Source organism: Homo sapiens, chromosome 2, assembly GCF_000001405.40.
Source record: "Homo sapiens chromosome 2, GRCh38.p14 Primary Assembly".
Lineage (NCBI taxonomy): Eukaryota > Metazoa > Chordata > Mammalia > Primates > Hominidae > Homo > Homo sapiens.
The window spans coordinates 42434137-42451747 of NC_000002.12; the positions used below are offsets into that span (position 1 = coordinate 42434137).

Below are 17611 nucleotides of genomic sequence, written 5' to 3' on the forward strand. Positions count from 1 at the left end.
CAAACCTAAAATTCATATAGTAATACAAGGAATGGCCAGGCACTGTAGCCTACACCTGTAATCCCAATACTTTGGGATGCTAAGGTGTGAGGATTGCTTGAGCCCAGGAGTTCAAAACCAGCCCGAGCAACACAGGGAGACCCTATCTCTACAAAGAAAATTTTTTTTAATTAGCCAGGCATGGTGGTACACACTTGTGCTTCCAGCTGCTCAGGAGGCTGAGACAGGAAGATCCTTTGAGCCCAGGAGGAGGTTGAGGTTGCAATGAGGAGTGATCAGAGCACTGCACTCCAGCCTGGGCAACAGAGTGAGACACTGTCTCAAAAAAAAAAAAAAAAAAAAAAAAAAAAGAGAGAGAGAGGGAAAGAGAAAAAAATAATAAAAAATAAACAAAGAAATACAAGGGACCCAGAATAGCCAAAATAATTTTTAAAAAAGGGAATTGCTTGAACCCGGGAGACAGAGGTTGCAGTGAGCCGAGATCGCACCGCTTCACTCCAGCCTAAGCAACAAGAGTGAAACTCCATCTCAAAAAAAAAAAAAAAAAAAAAAAAAAGGTAAGAGAGACTCACACTTCCTGATTTCCAAACTTACTACAAAGATACAATCTTTTGTTCTGGCATAAAAATCAACACATAGATCACTAGAATAGAATTGAGAATCTAGAAATAAACCCACACATCTATGGTCAATTGATTTTTGTCAAAAGTGCCAATACCATTACATGGGGAAAGACTGATCTTTTCAACAACTGGATATCTACATGCAAAAAATAAACAAATAAAATTGGACTCCTACTTCATAACAGATGCAAAAATTAACTAAAAATGGATCAGAGACCTAAAGACAGGCATTAACACTATAAAACTCTTAAGAGAAAACAGGGCTGGGCGCAGTGGCTCATGCCTGCAATCCTAGTACTTTGGGAGGCCAAGGCGGGTGGATCACCTGAGGTCAGGAGTTCAAGACCAGCCTAGTCAACATGGGGAAACCCTGTCTCTACTAAAAATGCAAAAATTAGCCAGGCATGGTGGCGCATGCCTGTAATCCCAGCTACTCAGGAGGCTGAGGCAGGAGAATCGCTTGAACCAGGGAGGCGGAGGTTGCAGTGAGCCGAGATCGCCCCATTGCACTTCACTCCAGGCTGGGCAACAAGAGCAAAACTCCATCTCAAAAAATAAAATAAAATTCTTAAGAAAACACATAGGAGTAAATCTTCATGACCTTCACTTTATTAGATATGACACCAGAAGCAAAAGAGACAAGAGAAAAAACAGATAAATTGGGAAACATCAAAATTTAAAATGTGTGCTGCAAATGATACATACCACTAAGAAAGTGAAAAGACAACCCTCAGAATAAGAGAAAATATTTACAAATCATATATTTGAAAAGGATCTGTATCCAGAATAAACAACTCTTAAAATCCAACAACTTTTTTAAAAAACCTATTTTTTTAAGGGCAGGGGTTTAAGTAGACATTTCTCCAAAGAATAGATGAAAAGATGACCAACAGCATTGTCATTAGGGAAATGCAAGTCATAATCACAGGGAGATAACCATTTCATACCCACTGTGACGGCTATTATTTTTAAAAAGGAAAATGACAAGAGTTGGGGAGGATGTGGAGAAACCGGAACCTTCACACATTGCTGGTGGGAATCAAATTGCTCAGCTGCTTTGGAAAACAGTTTGGCAGCTCCTCAAAAAGTTAAACATTAGCATCTAACCTGGCAATTCCATTCCTAGGTTTATATCCAACAGAAAAAGAAACCCTATGTCCACATGATAATTTGTACATGAATGTCATAGCAGCATTATACATAACAGTCAAAAAGTAGAAACAAGTGTCCATCAACTGATGCATGGATAAATAAAATGCAATCTACCCATACAAGGAAATATTATTCAGTCGTAAAAAGGAATGATGTACTGATACATGCTACAACATGGATGAACTTTGAAAACATGACACTAGGTGAAAGAAGCCAGACACAAAAGGCCAGCCACATATCATATGATTCCATTTATATGAAATGTCCAGAATAGGCAAATCCACAGAGACAGAAAGTAGATTAGTGGTTGCCAGGGGATGAGTGGAGTGGAAATGGGTAGTGACTGCTAATGGGCACAGGGTACATGAAAATGTTCTGGAGTTAGATAGTGGTGATGGTTATACAGCTCTATAAATATATTAAAAACCACAGAACTGTACATTTTAAGATAACAAATTGTATGGCATACGAATTATGTCTCATCTTTTTTAAAAAAGGCATTGTTAGGACCACCCCATATTTATTTAGTTCCATTTTTAAACTTCCCTAAAAACTCTTGCTAGATAGACTAAAGCTTGTCTACAGAGCCACACTGCCAATAACACTGACTGGTCAAGGTAGTCATGTACCCAGGAACTACCCTTATTTCCTTCTCTGGCCACTCAATTGCCTCTTGGCATGGTGAAGACATGCTTAACACTCACTTGTGTGGGATTAAACAGAATACAGTGTGAGTCGCAAATACAGTGAGGGCAAAGCAGAAAACAGCTAGAACAGGGAATAAAAAGAAGGTATCCATCTATCATCCCAGCTACCCCTTAGAAAACTTTTGTGAGGACCATAAAAACCACACTTTCTTGGTTGACAAAATTCCTCATCCTTAGGTCAAACATTGTAATTCCTCAAATCTGATTTTACACACGCTGGCTTTTTAATAAAATCTGATTCTGTTTTGACCCTTATACAAGAATGCCCTTCTCAAAAGAACTTGTTCTTTCATACATGCATGAAAAATGAAATTTTTTTTAAAATCTCCTTTAGGGGATGATAGGTAACACAACAGAAGGGTGACCCACAGGTTAGATTCCCTAATTGAGTTCCTGTACATATCTACCATTAGGTAAAATATGAAGACATTTACAACCCTTTTTTCCCATACGAATGTCTGGAAACCTATCTATTACATGAAGTGGGGTGCACCTAATTATTTCTTACATGCTATAGTGTTCCTATCTCCACCTTGTACCACAGCACAAAAAGATGCATACATAAAAAATATATATTTAAGAAAAAGACACACAAACATGTGTGTGCCCAGTTTCTGATCTTTTTAAACAGGGTTAACTGGGAATCTAATAAGTGGTTTTGATTAAATTAATATAAGTCGAATCTTAGAAAGAAAGCAACCATGACCCACGATTCTAACTTTAAAACTAGAATATTTATGTGATTTGTATTATTCTTTGTTTTTAAGAGCCTTCCAAATGGTAAGAATTACTGAATAAAAAATATAGGTAAGAGATTAAGCAGTTTATCTCAAAGCAAAACATCTAAAGTTTCTACCTCTGTCCTAGGAACAAAAATAAACAACCTTCACATAGATCTGAAAGTTAAGCCTTACACAGATTTTATGATTTGCATTTTACTTCAGAGTGTATAGTATAAAAGCGTGGATATGGTTTAATTTTTTTTTATTTTGCCAAACAGCACTGACATAGGTATGGTTTTAAAAAATAAATATGTGGGCTGGGTGTGTTGACTCACTCCTGTAATCCCAGCACTTTGGGAGGCTGAGGTGGGCAGACCACATAAAGTCAGGAGATCGAGACCAGCCCGGCCAACATGGCAAAACCCCATCTCTACTAAAAATACAGAAATTAGCAGGGCATGTTGGTGGGCGCCTGTAATCCCAGATACTTGGGAGGCTGAGGCCGGAGAATTGCTTGAACCCAGGAGGTGGAGATTGTAGTGAGCTGAGATTGTGCCATTGCACTCCAGCCTGGGCAACAAGAGTGAAACTCTGTCTCCAAAAAAAAAAAAAAAAAAAAAAAATTTTCTGTCACTACAATCACATAATAAACGTTCCATTTTTATCACAGCTCAGAATTTGTAACTATAAATATTACTCTCTACTAAGAAAGTAAAATTATCTTGCCCTCTATATTGTAGAGAAAGAAAGCATGGAATTCCATCAGAGTTATAAGATCGAGGTTGTAATATGCAGTTGAAAAATAATACCTAAGTTGAACAAATCATCGTATATTACTACAGCAGATGTCACTGCTTGAGCCCAGGAGTTTGAGACCAGCCTGTGTAACATAGGGAGACCCTGTCTCTACTACAAAACAAAAACAAACCAATACACACTACAAACTGCCTCCACTCTGTCATGGGCAGAACTATAGAATTATTTCCAAATAACAGAAATAGTGATCCTATCTAATATAAAATTACGGGAAATTTTAGTTTTAGTTTTAATATAATGCTGCATAAATAAGTACATCAAAGCACTCCTTCAGATATAAATAACATAGAATCACTTACTCCTGGTAGGTGAAAGCCAAATAATATTCTCCCTTCACTTTCATGTACTAAATGTTATATTTGGTATAGTCTTGTTGATATTTTAAACGATAAACCAAAGAATTCCCACCAAAGCTACTTAAAATGTATTTGTTTAAATTACAGCATAAATGCAGATTATCAAGTTCAATTTTCTAAGCAAATAGTAGTAAACTGACAATTGAGCTTATGCTAACAGTCAAAAGCTCCAGTACTTACTGAAAATATTTGGAAGATCTAGAAAAATCTGAAAGTTTGGGCATAAGTTAACCACAGAATGGGACAATATAATCATGCTTCTGGATGACATTTCACAAATCTATGGAAGGCTTCACTGCAAATGAGGCAGTAAATCATTAGTCTACTTTCAGAAGCAGAACTGATATGCCCAGGTTTCTGAGTGCAGATGGGCTCTGGAAAATCAGGAAGTGAAACACCATAGGAAAGAACACTGAACAGACACAGAAGTAAATGGATGCAACCTTTCCTGACCAAAATGGAACTTTCCAGAACATTCCATCAAAGCTTCAACCCATGTTACTTGACATTTCTCAGCCTGGTTCTGAGAATGTCCTGAATAATGCAGTGACAACTATCAAATACCTGTACTTATTTGGATACATGTGGATGAGTGCACAACTGTACAGTAATTTTTAAAATTCTAGAGAAAATCTGAGTTACTTATGCATTTGTCTCAAGCCCTCCTTCTTGACATCTAAGGCTTCTAAAAGCAATATTATTTTTATTATAAAAATAAACTGTCAATTATATATTATTGTATATATATATATATGATTTTTTTGAGAGAGAGAGAGTTTCCCTCTGTCACCCATGCTAGAGTACAGTGGCACGATCTCAGCTCACTGGAACCTCCACCTGCCAGGTTTAAGTAATTCTCATGCCTCAGCCTTCTGCGTAGCTGGGATTACATTCACGTGTCATCAAGCCTGGCTAATTTTTTGTATTTTTAGTAGAGACAGGGTTTCGCTATGTTGGCCAGGCTGGTTTCGAACTCCTGACCTCAAGTGATCTGCCCACCTTGGCCTCCCAAAGTGCTGGGATTACAGGCGTGAGCCACCATGCCCGGCAATAATTGCTTTTTAATTCAAACGTTAAAAAAAAAAAAGAAAAAGAAAAAGGAAAAATACGGGGAACACCAAAGCCCTAAATAAAAAAAAATTTTTTTTTTTGAGACGGAGTTTCACTTTTGTCACCCAGGGTGGAGTGCAAAGGCGCGATCTCGGCTCACTGCAACCTCTGCCTCCCTGGTTCAAGTGATTCTCCTGCCTCAGCCTCCCAAGTAGCTGGGATTACAGGCACCACGATGCCCAGCTAGTTTTTATATTTTCAGTAGAGATGGGTTTTCACCATGTTGGCCAGGCTGGTCTCGAACTCCTGATTTCAGGTGATCCACCCGCCTCGGCCTCCCAAAGTGCTCGGATTACAGGCGTGAGTCACCATGCCTGGCCAAGAAAATATTTTTAAAAGAAATCCTTCATGGCTTCCGAAGTTACAAGATTCTTAAAGGAAGTATATCCAGAGTACTAAGCCAAAAGTCTGGAAATCAAGCTTCTGGGACCTAACCTGACACTAGAGTGACCATGGCTAAATTACAACCCACTGGGAGCAGAGTTCCCTGGTTGCTAATATTTGGATCGGACAAAAGGCATACAATTGGGCCAAAATAGACCAGAAGGTTTCCACAACCCCTAGTTCCAACTTCCTATGACCCTATAAAATGATTAGACTATGTCTGATTGAATTGTATATTACACACCATAAGGGAATGCACATTTATGAAGGGTCAGAGGACTCGAAATATTCTATGACACTATGCATTAAGTTTGGAGTTACACAGCTGAATAGTAATACAGAGCTAGGAGCTTTCAATGTTTTATTTTTCATTTCTATGGAAAAGAGGTGAAGTGGACAGAAGGGATGTCTGAAATTCTATCCTGAGGCTTTAATATTTCAAATATTGTTTTGCATCTTTTTGTCTGTTTTCTTTAAAAAAAAAAAAAAAAAAGGAAAATAAACTGCTATTAGCAAATACCAAGCCAACAGGGAAAATTCTCCCAACACCAACATCCAAATTAACCCCATCTCCACCTCTTCCAGATCACAGGACATCTGGACAAAGGTTTAAAAAGACAAATAATTTTGACTTATTGACAGCCATTGTGGAAATAACTTTTCAGAAAGTATGAACTTACAAATGGGTACTTATAGGTAATGACCAAACCCAAGAACAAATGCAACTGTTTCAATTAGCAACAAGGACAATACAGTAATGAAAGCCTTGAATTGTTAGTTTGTTCACTTTCAAATATATTCCCTAATTTTGTGTTTGTAATCCTAAAACTCCCATTTTAGAGAATACAAAACAAGTTACATATTAGATCAAGTCATGTAAATTCAGGTGTGGTAAAATCAGATTAAAGATTAGGAGATTAGGGCTTTTTTCCTCTTTGGGTATTTTAATTTAGGATAATGTCTGACTTACTGGTACCAATACAGATATTAATGAAAACATTTCTGCCATGAAAAGACTGAGTTATAAGAGATGTCTGTAAGTATAGCTAAGAAAGAAGTGATACTTAATGGTTTTTTAAAAAAGCAGCAACAGGCCAGGCACAGTGTCTCATGCCCATAATCCCAGAGCTTTGAGAGGCTGAGGTGGGAGGACTGCTTGAGGCCAGGAGTTTGAGGCAAGCCTGGGCAACACAGTGAGACCCCTATCTCTACAAAAAAATAAAAATTAAAAAATTAACCAGCATGGTGATGCACACCTATAGTCCTAGCAACTTGGGAGGCTGGGGTGGGAGGACTGCTTGAGCCCAGGAGTTCAAAACTGCAGTGAGCTATGATCACACCACTGCACTCCAGCCTAGGCAACCAAGCAAAACTCTATCTCTAGAAAAAAATAAATAGATAAATAATGATAAAAGTAGCAACGCTCAGGGAACGTTACAATAAAATGCTGTTCCTAAAAAAACACAACATCCATGAAGACAAAACCCTAATACATATTTTTTCATTTATGAATGAACTACTCTATCACGTCTCATCGTCTCCTTATAAATGGGTAGCTTAACTGCCACTAGTATTTACCCAACATGCTTCTTTATGAAAATCGGTCCTATGGAAAGTCTGGAATCACCAACAAGAGATTTCACACTTGTTACCTAAGGGTAGCATGAAGTCTGTGTGTATATTTGCACATGTACATTATATATATATATACACACACACATATCCCTATATATAAAATATATACACATATATATACCTATATGTATGTATAAAATATATATATATAGGTGTGTGTGTATATATATACCTATAGGTATATGCTTCTCCTCGTCTCTTCACACAGAAGTTTCTCCCCTCAAATCAGTCAACTGTTTGTGCCCAAGTCTGTAACAGACACTGTCGGGGATACAAAGGTGTATGCATGAGAGAGGATCCCAGCTCTCAAGACAGTTATAATTTACTTGGGAAGATAGGACATATTCACATAAAGCGGTCCCAGTACCAGTAAAATTGATGGTTATCATATTTTTATTAGTAATATGGAGGTGCTATCATCTGCACATTGTTTGCATGAACCACAAAGCTTTAATCCAAATAGTTAAGAAAAAATAAATCCATGCCATTTATTTCAATTATATTAGAATACAATAAATATACAATAAATAACTGAATTTCTTTTGGGTATGTAAGAAGTAGCATACTAGCAGTAATAGGGAAAATAGGGCAAGATATTTAATGGCCAAACTATTACATAAGCTTAGGAAAGGAAATTAAGGGAAAGAAAACAGTTTTGCTATTATTACCTCAGCATGACAATGACAAAGAAGTGTGATTTTTCCAGGCTTTTCTCAGAACCCAGAGATGTGTGAAGATTAACCTGCTGGGCTAGGTTTCTGGAGATCCAGGTGTTAGCCCTGACTCCTTCACAATTATATTCTCTCCTGCCCTGATTTTCTACCTGTAATAGTTGAGGTTTGAACTAGATGATGGCTAAAATTCCTTTAATGAACACTTCTGGTAACCCTTTATTTGATAAATATATCCAGGTCCTCCATCACCCACCACTTCCCAATCCCTGTCTTCTCTACCTCTGACAAAATTACTGTGTACAACATTCAATTTTTTATGAATCTGTCACTAATTATTTGTGTTTATATATACACTAACTTCTTTATGGTAACTGGTTGAAAAAGCAAAATTCTAATTTCTGTTGCTAAAATTTAGTTACTAAACAATCATCACTTTTACATTATCTAGTCCTAATAATCTAGCCAGATTAACATGGCATATTAGTCAGTATTCTTACAAGAAGAGTTTTGGTGTAGCTGTGATTCACAATAGTTAAAGATCAGATCAAATCATTATGTATCCATCGCTTTTACTGGCTTAAAATTGACTTAGCTACACAGCAACTAAGAGTACAGTAATATTTAATTTCTCCCTTTTATGATAATCCAGTGACAACACGTAAGTATGACTTTGCTACTAAAAGGCTATATAAATATCCTTTCATCTGATAAGTCTTATTAAACCTCTAGTGTTTGGGGGAGGAGGTTAAGAGAAGAAGAGGTTGTAATATTGAGTCATCTCAAATTATTCCTATTATAATTTTTATGTTGGAAGTATTCTTGTTTGGACATCTAAATATTAGGACAGTTATCACCTAGGAACAGCAATGAATTCAAATATTATCCAGTAAGATGCTAAACAACACAAGCTCTCGTCAATTCTTAAATACCTTTTGAGTCATTACAGTAAAGAGATAAATCCAAAATGGAAAAGGGAGAACATACTCAAGCTTCCATGAAGCGGCACGATAAGGTGAATAATTGGCACAAAAATAAAGCAAAGAATTGAGAAGTATGCTGGAAAAGTCTTTCAAATACTATTCTTGCTTGTATCTAGCTCCATTATACAGTTTAAATTTTGGCCAAATTTTTAAAGTATTTGTTAAACAGTTCCCGCATGTGACATATGTTTCCAGGATACTTCTGACATTGATATGAGAAATTATAAAACATTTAGAAATGAAAATGTTACTCTCAAACAAAAAACACTATAAGTTCCAAGCTTCTTCTGAATTCATAAGATGGAAAAACATTTGGAAAATAGTACCTTTCTGTTTTAAAATGTTCAAATAATGTATTTTTTAAAAATGTGTAATCATTCAAGGAAACGGGAAAACAAGTCTAAATAAAACCGGGTCCTAAAGTTTACTCTAGGAGTCATTATTCTTCCTTTGCAGTCTCAATTCTATTTACTCCATAACAAGTAAACTGTTTTATCCCTTCGGCTGGGAAGGATAATTTTTACCCTACCAAGATGATGACAATGCCACTGCAGTGCTCACCCAGCAAGAAACACATAAATATGAAGCAGCATCAAAGTCTTTCTATGAAGTGTATGCAAGAATTGATTTGCAATGCATTAATTCAGGAATTCAGTGGAGAGGCTCCTACTATACCTAGCAGATCTAAACTTGAGCTCATGATAACACTGCACAAAGCTATGGTAGATAAAAGTGATAGGTAATGCCAATAGAACAATTCCACTGACAACACAAACTCCTCCAAGAATTCTTCCAGGCACTGTGATAGGATACATATCTCCATAGCCAACTGTAGTCATAGAGATAATCACCCACCAGCAGGCAGCAGGAATGCTGGTAAAGTCCTTGTTGGATGTTTCCAGGTCCAGCCCATGTTCAAGAAGCTGAGAAAGTGCACTAAAGATTGCCATGGCAACACAAATGAAGACAAGTAACATAACCATCTCTCGGTAGCAACGTTTGAGAGTCAAACCGAGTGTCTGAAGACCAATGAAGTGACGGGCAAGCTTAATCACCCAAAAAATCCTCATCATTCTAAGTACCCTCAAGGTGACTCCAGCCCTCTGGAGTTGAGAGTTCTCGCCTGTAAACACTGTCATCAACACAGAGATGTAATACGGCGTGATTGCCAGTAAATCAATGATGTTCAGGGGTCTCTTGACAAACTCACACTTGTTTTTGGAGACAATGAACCTCACGATGCACTCGGCAGTGAACCAACCTATGCAGATAGCTTCAATTATCCTGTCAAGAGAACAAAAGAAGAATTGATCATTTTATTTTTAAGCATTTTAATAGCTCTTAGATTTCTTCAGATAGTACTACACTGACATACTAATTCAGTTACTTTTCCAGAAAACATAAAGAACAGACAACATTAGCAACATCATCAGACCACCAGGATGCACGCAACAGAACAACAAATCAATTCAGATGAAAATTGAGACCAGGTGCAGTGGCTCATGCATGTAATCCCAGGTCTTTGGAAGGCTGAGGTGGGTGAATCGCTTGAGCCCAGGAGTTCGAGACCAACCTGGGCACCACAGCAAAACCCCGTCTCCACAAAAAAAAAATACAAAAATCAGCTGGGCTTGGTGACACACACCTGTAGTACCACCTACCTGGGAGGCTAAGGTGGGAGGATCACCTGAGCCTGGGAAGGTCAAGGCCAGAGTGAGCCATGACTGTGCCACTGCACTCCAGCCAGGATGACAGAAAGAGACCCTGTCTCAAAAATTAAAAAAAAAAAAAAAAAAAATTGAACTTGATAAAGTTCTTACTTCTATGCTACAATACTATTAAATTTTGTTTTTTACTTGTCACTAATACTTTTAAAAAATATCTCTCTTATTTGGTAGTTTGAAATTAACTTATCTTCAGTTGGCCACAACATGAAATTTAACTTACTCTTGCAGGACAGTGGTTCTCAGCTGTGATACGAGTTCTGAGGTGGATTGGAAGGGCATTATTCCTATAGAATGTGGACCTATCTAAGTTTTTTGATGGGCTATTTCTTGGTAACTTACAGTCAATGCAAGATCATTTCCTAAAACGTGAATCGTCCTTCCTTCCCAATAGGCTTGTATGGGAGATACTGGCACCGAGCAAGTTTATGGGGAACTGGGTGAGTGCCCTCACCAGAAACTCACCAGGTCACAACTATCCTAAAAAGGTCCCAGCAGAAACGAGGCCGAGGACTCCCACATTGGAGCAAAATGGCCGCTAGGATTTTCCCAAAGACCACAAATACTTTGTATTCCATCATCATTTTTACACAGCACATATTTTTAAAAGACCACATTTTACCTAGAGCAATATTTACCACCCTTTCTGCATTACTGCATGCACTGAAAATAATCGCATTTATACAGCACACTGCAGTCAAGGGATAGGATTCCTTTTTTTTTTTGAGATGAAGTTTCACGCTATCGCCCAGGCTGGAGTGCAGTGGCACGATCTCAGCTCACTGCAACCTCTGCCTCCCGGGTTTAAGCAATTCTCCTGCCTCAGCCTCTCCAGTAGCTGGGACTACAGGCGTCTGCCACCATGCGTGACTAATTTTTGTATTTTTAGTAGAGATGGAGTTTCACCATTTTGGCCAGGCTGGTCTCGAACTCCTTACGTCAGTTGTTCTGCCCACCTCAGCCTCCCGAAGTGTCGGGATTACAGCCATGAGCCACCACACCCAGCCAACGGGTAGGATTCTTGAAGAAGCCTGCATCCTGGGAGCTCTAGGCCCCCAGCCCTCAGCCCATAAACCCCAAAGCTGAGAAAATCAAATTTCAACACCTCTGGCCCTGTGAGCTGTAATTTGAAGGTAATTTTAAATTTAATTAACATTTTTTATTTTTTTTTAATTGAGATGGAGTGTCGTTCTGTCACCCAGGCTGGAGTGCAGTGGCACAATCTCGGCTCACTGCAACCTCTGCCGCCTGGGTTCAAGCAATTCTCGTGCCTCACCCTCCCAAGTAGCTGGGACTACAGGCGCGCGCGATCACGCCTGGCTAATTTTTTTATATTTTGAGTAGAGACGGGGTTTCACCATGTTGGCCAGGCTGGTCTCAGACTTCTGACCTCAAGTGATCCGCCCACCTCGACCTCCCAAAGTGCTGGGATTACAGGCATGAGCCACCATGCCCAGCCCAAAATTTTTAACATTCGAAATTAAAATTTATAATTATTATACCATCACTTGTTTTTCTCCACATAATTCTTTCTCACCACTAACTTAAACCCAAACATCAGAAGTACAATGGAGAGAGAAGAAACTGGAGTAAGTGGGAGGAGAGTAGGTGGGGCAACATTTTGAAAAGAATTACTCAAAGTGCATTCCACAGAACACAAGTGGTACTTGATGTTACTCATAAAAATGAATAAATACAATTAACCATGTTTCCCTATTGTAGGGCTTTACAGGGCTGTAAAGATTAACTTTATTAACTTTTATTTTCTGAATAGGTATTCACATTCACATGGCTTAAATCACATGATTTTAAAAAAAGAATATAGAAAGAAAGGTCTCAGGCCAGGCATGGTGGCTTATACTTGTAATCCCAGCACTTTGGGAGGCCAAGGTGGGAGTATAGCTTGAGCCCAGGAATTCAAGACCAGCCTGGGAAACATAGTGAGGCCTCCTCTCTACAAAAAATGAGGCAGGAGGATTGCTTGAGCCCAGGAGATTGAGGCTGCAGTGAGCCATGATCACACCACTGCACTCTCACCTGTGTGACAGACAGCAAACCTGCCTCAAAAAAAAAAAGGGATGAGGAAGGGGAAGGGAAAAGTCTCACCTCTCACACTATTCCAGCCACCCAATTCCCCTCCCTGGAGTCAACAAATATAATCACTTTCTTATGCATCCTTCCAGAGCTATTTGATGTATGTACAAACAAACAAAAATTTTTACTTACATGTGTATATATATGTACATACATGTATATATATATACATACAGATACATACATACACACATATATATGTATGTATCTCCTTTTACACAAATAGTAGCATGTTACACTAATTGCCCTGCCTCATTTGGTTAATATATCTTGGAGGTCATTCCAAATCAGTAAATAGAGAGCTCCCTCATTTCTTAAACATGGTGACACAGTGTTCCACTGAATGTACTGTGATTTATTTAACCAGTCCACCAGATGAACATTAACACTGATGCAATGAATATTCTTTTTTTTTTTTTGAAACAGGGTCTTACTCCCGTCAACCATGCTGGAGTGCAGTGGCACCATCACAGCTCACTGCAGCCTCAAATGCCCAGGCTCAAGCGATCCTCCCACCTCAGGCTCCCAAGTAGCTGGGACTAAGGCACGTACCACCACACTTGGTTAATTTTTTTTCTTTTTTTTTCTTTTTTTTATACTTTTTATAAAGATGGGGTCTTGCTATGTTGCCTGGAATGGCCTCGAACTCCTGGGCTCAAGCAATCTGCCCACCTTGGCCTTCCAAAGCACTGGAATTACAGGCATGAGCCCAGCCAATGCAATGAATACGTTTGTATATCATTTCCCACATGAGCAGATATATCTGTAGAATAAATCTGAGACTTGGAATTACTGGATCAGAGAAGATACATATGTATTTGTAATTTTGATAGATCTTGCCAAGCTACCCCTACAGAGGTTGTACCAAATTACCCACCCACAGGCAATGCATAGGAGTGTCTATTCCCCACGGCCTCACTAATGTAAAGTATTGTTGAACTTGGAGGTCTCTGCCACTCTGAGAGATGAAAAGTGCTAGCTTATTTTGAGCAATGTTGAGCATCTTTGCACATGTTTAACGGCCTGCTCTGTGACCTGTCTGTATCACTTGCTCACAAAGGCTTTAATCTGCTCAGAAACAGTAGGAATATCCTTCAGAGTATCAGGCCAGGACTACTGTTCCTTGAAATACCAGTTTTGCAAAATGATTCCAGAGCCTTTGCCTGTAAATTTCTTAGTAACAGAGTTTGACAAACTATAGCCCGGGGTCTAAATCCTGCCCACTTCCCACTTATTTATTTATTTATTTATTTATTTATTTATTTATTTATTTTTTGTATGGCATGCAACCTAAGAATGGTTCCTAATTTTTTTCCCCCACTGGTTTGAAATGGTGGCTTTTATCATACATTAAATTACCAATCACACCTAAGTAAAATTCTTGATTTTCCACTTTCCAGAGTGGAAAGTTCAGAACTTCACTCAGGTATATCTGATCGATCCATTCTATCTTATACTATGCTACTCTCAATTTTCATTACAGTTGACCCCTGAATAACATGGGTTTGATCACAAGGATCCACTTATAGGCAGTTTGTTTTTCAACCAAATGTGATCAAAAATACAGTATTCGCAGGAAGTAAAACACGCTTATGGCCGGGAGCGGTGGCTCATGCCTGTAATCCCAGCACTTTGGGAGGCCGAAGCGGGCGGATCATGAGGTCAAGAGATCGAGACCACAGTGAAACCCCGTTCTCTACTAAAAATACAAGAAATTAGCCGGGCGCAGTGGCGGGTGCCTGTAGTCCCAGCTACTTGGGAGGCTGAGGCAGGAGAATGGCATGAACCTGGGAGGTGGAGCTTGCAGTGAGCTGAGATCGCGCCACTGCACTCCAGCCTGGGTGACAGAGCGAGACTCCGTCTCAAAAAAAAAAACAAAACAAAAAAACATGCTTATACAGACAGCCAACTTTTCATATACTTGGGTTTCCCAGGGCCCACTGAGGGACTTGAGTATGTTCAGATTTTGGTATATGTGGGGGGTCCTGGAACCAACATCCTACATGTACCGAGAAATGAGTGTACTTTGTTTTGATGTCTAGTTGAATGTATCACTCAATTGTGTTCTTCCTTTTCAAGACTGTCCTGGTTATTCGTAAGCACTTGCTCCTCCAACATAAATTTTATTTTTTTATTTTTCTTAATGATTGGGGGAAAAAACAAAATCTAAAGAATTATATTTTATGACATGTACAAATTATGTAAAATTTGAATTTCAGTGGCCATAAATAAAGTTTTATTGGAACACAGCCATGCTCACTCATTTACACATTGTCTATGGCTGTTTTCACAGCAAAGTTGAGTGGTCATGACAGAAACCATATAGCTCTGCAAAACCTAAAGTACCTACTATCATTGAAAAAAAAAAAAGTCTGCTGTTGTGTTAAGCCACTGAGATTTCTTTTTTTTTTTTTTTTTTTTTGAGACAGGGTCTCACTCTGTCACCCAGGCTGGAGCACAGTGGTACGATGTTGGCTCACTGCAACCTCCACCTCCCGGACTCAAGCAATTCTCCTGCCTCAGCTTCCTGAGTAGCTGGGATTACAGGCGCGCACCACCACACCTGGCCTCAAGTGATCCACCCGCCTTGGCCTCCCAGAGTGCTGGAATTAAAGGCATGAGCCACCGCACCCAGCCTGGGATTTCTAAATTGGTTGCTATCTTAGGTAGTAAACTGGTAAATATGGTAGGTAGTAGTAAGATGTGCACTTAAAAGGGATTGCAGGAGCACGCAGCAGTGATAATAATAGTTTCCTTAGATTGGCTTGTGGGTAAGATGTACCAGTTCTCCAGCTAACATACTCTGTCTCTTATCTAGCCAGACACAAGCAAGGGCACTGAACTTGACATCAGAGGCTCTGTGCTCTTTCCATTCTGAAGGACAAGCCTCACCATCAAGTGGCAGATTTACATGGATCTTATAAGGACCTTCCCAGCTCTAAAATCCTAAGATTCTATTAATTTCAGAAGAGTAAAAATGTCAATTGTGCCAAAAATACCAGAACATTTTCTGTCTAATTATTTCCAGCAGCAGCCAAAGTTGTTATGACTAAGAAGGAGGAAATCCAAATGGTGTGGAATAATCTCTCAATAAGGGAATTTCAAAGAAGTAAGCTCGTCTGTAATGAGGTCCTCAGGGTTCTGCTTGCCCACACCTTAGGTCAGATGCAGTTTATTCAGAATTGCACACCAAAGGGATGAATCAGTGAGAAACCCCAGGCATCATTTTCACCTTCAATTATGCCAAGGCAGTCTCTAGCAACAAACACCACCAAGCCTGCCAAAATTCCTCATGTTTCCAAATGGCACTCTCACCAATGCCACCACTGACAACTGCTGAAAAACTGAGTACTGTTCACTGAGCACAAGAGCAAACAATTGGGTATTCCCGGAGGTTACTTCTGTAAAATTAAACAGGAAAAAAGAAACTAAAGATACATCACATTCCTTTGAAGCCGATTCTGATTTCTTCTGAGTTCCAAACATATAGATGTTCATGAATGTATGCCTAATAAAAATATTCACCACTGACTGATGCCTTTCAGTTGGGCACTGTGCTAAGCAATTTACAGACATCATCTCGTCTGATCCCTTTCAAGAAGTCTATGAAATATGTATTTCCCCTAGTATCTCCGCTTTACAGATGACAAAATTGAGGCTGAAAGGTTAAGCACTTTTCCAAGGTCACACAACTAAGAAGCTGCAATTACACAGGTAATGAAACCCAGATCTACAAGATTTTAAAGCTAAAAGGAGCATTTGGAAATGCAAATGATTTTATGACAATGTCCATTGTTAAGATTAAATGGGGCCAGAAGCAGTGGCTCATGCCCATAATCCTAGCACTTTGGGAGGCCAAGGCAGGTGGATCACCTGAGGTCAGGAGTTCGAGACCAGCCTGGCCAACATGGTGAAACCCTGTCTCTCCCAAAAATACAAAAATTAGCTGGGCATGGTGGCAGGCGCCTGTAATCCCAGCTACTCGGGAGACTGAGGCAGGAGAACTGCTTGAACCTGAAAGGCAGAGGTCGCAGTGAGCTGAGATAGTACCACTGCACTCCAGCCTGGGTGACAGAGCAAGACTCCAACTCAAAAAAAAAAAAAAAAAAAAAAAAAGATTAAATGGTATATGTCAACCATTTGGTCTCCAGGGTTTACATTAGAATAGCATTTTTTTGTGTGTGCCAGGGGCAGTGACACACACCTGTAATCTCAGCACTTTGGGAGGCTGAAGTGGGAGGACTGCTTGAGCCCAGGAGTACAAGACCAGCCTGGGCAACAAAGCAAGACCCCATCTCTACTACAAATAATGTTTTAAAATTAGCAGGGGGCCGGGCACAGTGGCTCACGCCTGTAATCCCAGCACTTTGGGAGGCTGAGGTGGGTGGATCACTTGAGGTCAGGAGCTCGAGACCAGCCTGGCCAACATGGTGAAACCCCGTCTCTACTAAAAATACGAAAATTAGCTGGGCGTGGTGGTGCACGCCTGTAATCCCAGCTACTCAGGAGGCTGAAATAGGAGAATCTGCTTGAACCCAGGAGGTGGAGGTTGTAGTGAGCTGAGATCGTGCCACTGCACTCCAACCTGGGCGACAGAGCAAGACTTTGTCTCAAAAAAATTAATTAATTAATTA

The 17611-nt window shown here is 39.4% G+C and overlaps 1 protein-coding gene and 1 non-coding gene across 4 annotated transcripts in view; one reads left to right on the plus strand and one right to left on the minus strand.

The window, feature by feature from the left end:
- Window positions 1–17611, minus strand: part of KCNG3 (potassium voltage-gated channel modifier subfamily G member 3) — a 105631-nt gene that overhangs the window by 45785 nt on the left and 42235 nt on the right. For 2 of the 3 annotated variants that reach the window (NM_172344.3, NM_133329.6), the window contains exon 2: window positions 7881–10443. In NM_172344.3, coding sequence (NP_758847.1) covers window positions 9798–10443 — 646 coding nt within the window. In that variant the 3' untranslated portion in view covers window positions 7881–9797. Of the gene's footprint in view, window positions 1–7880; window positions 10444–17611 lie in introns of those variants that run through there. The other variant, XR_007069666.1, reaches the window with a different exon arrangement.
- On the plus strand, window positions 6241–6300 carry LOC124900542 (small nucleolar RNA SNORD75). The gene has a single exon (XR_007088733.1). It is a non-coding gene; the product is annotated as a small nucleolar RNA SNORD75 (small nucleolar RNA).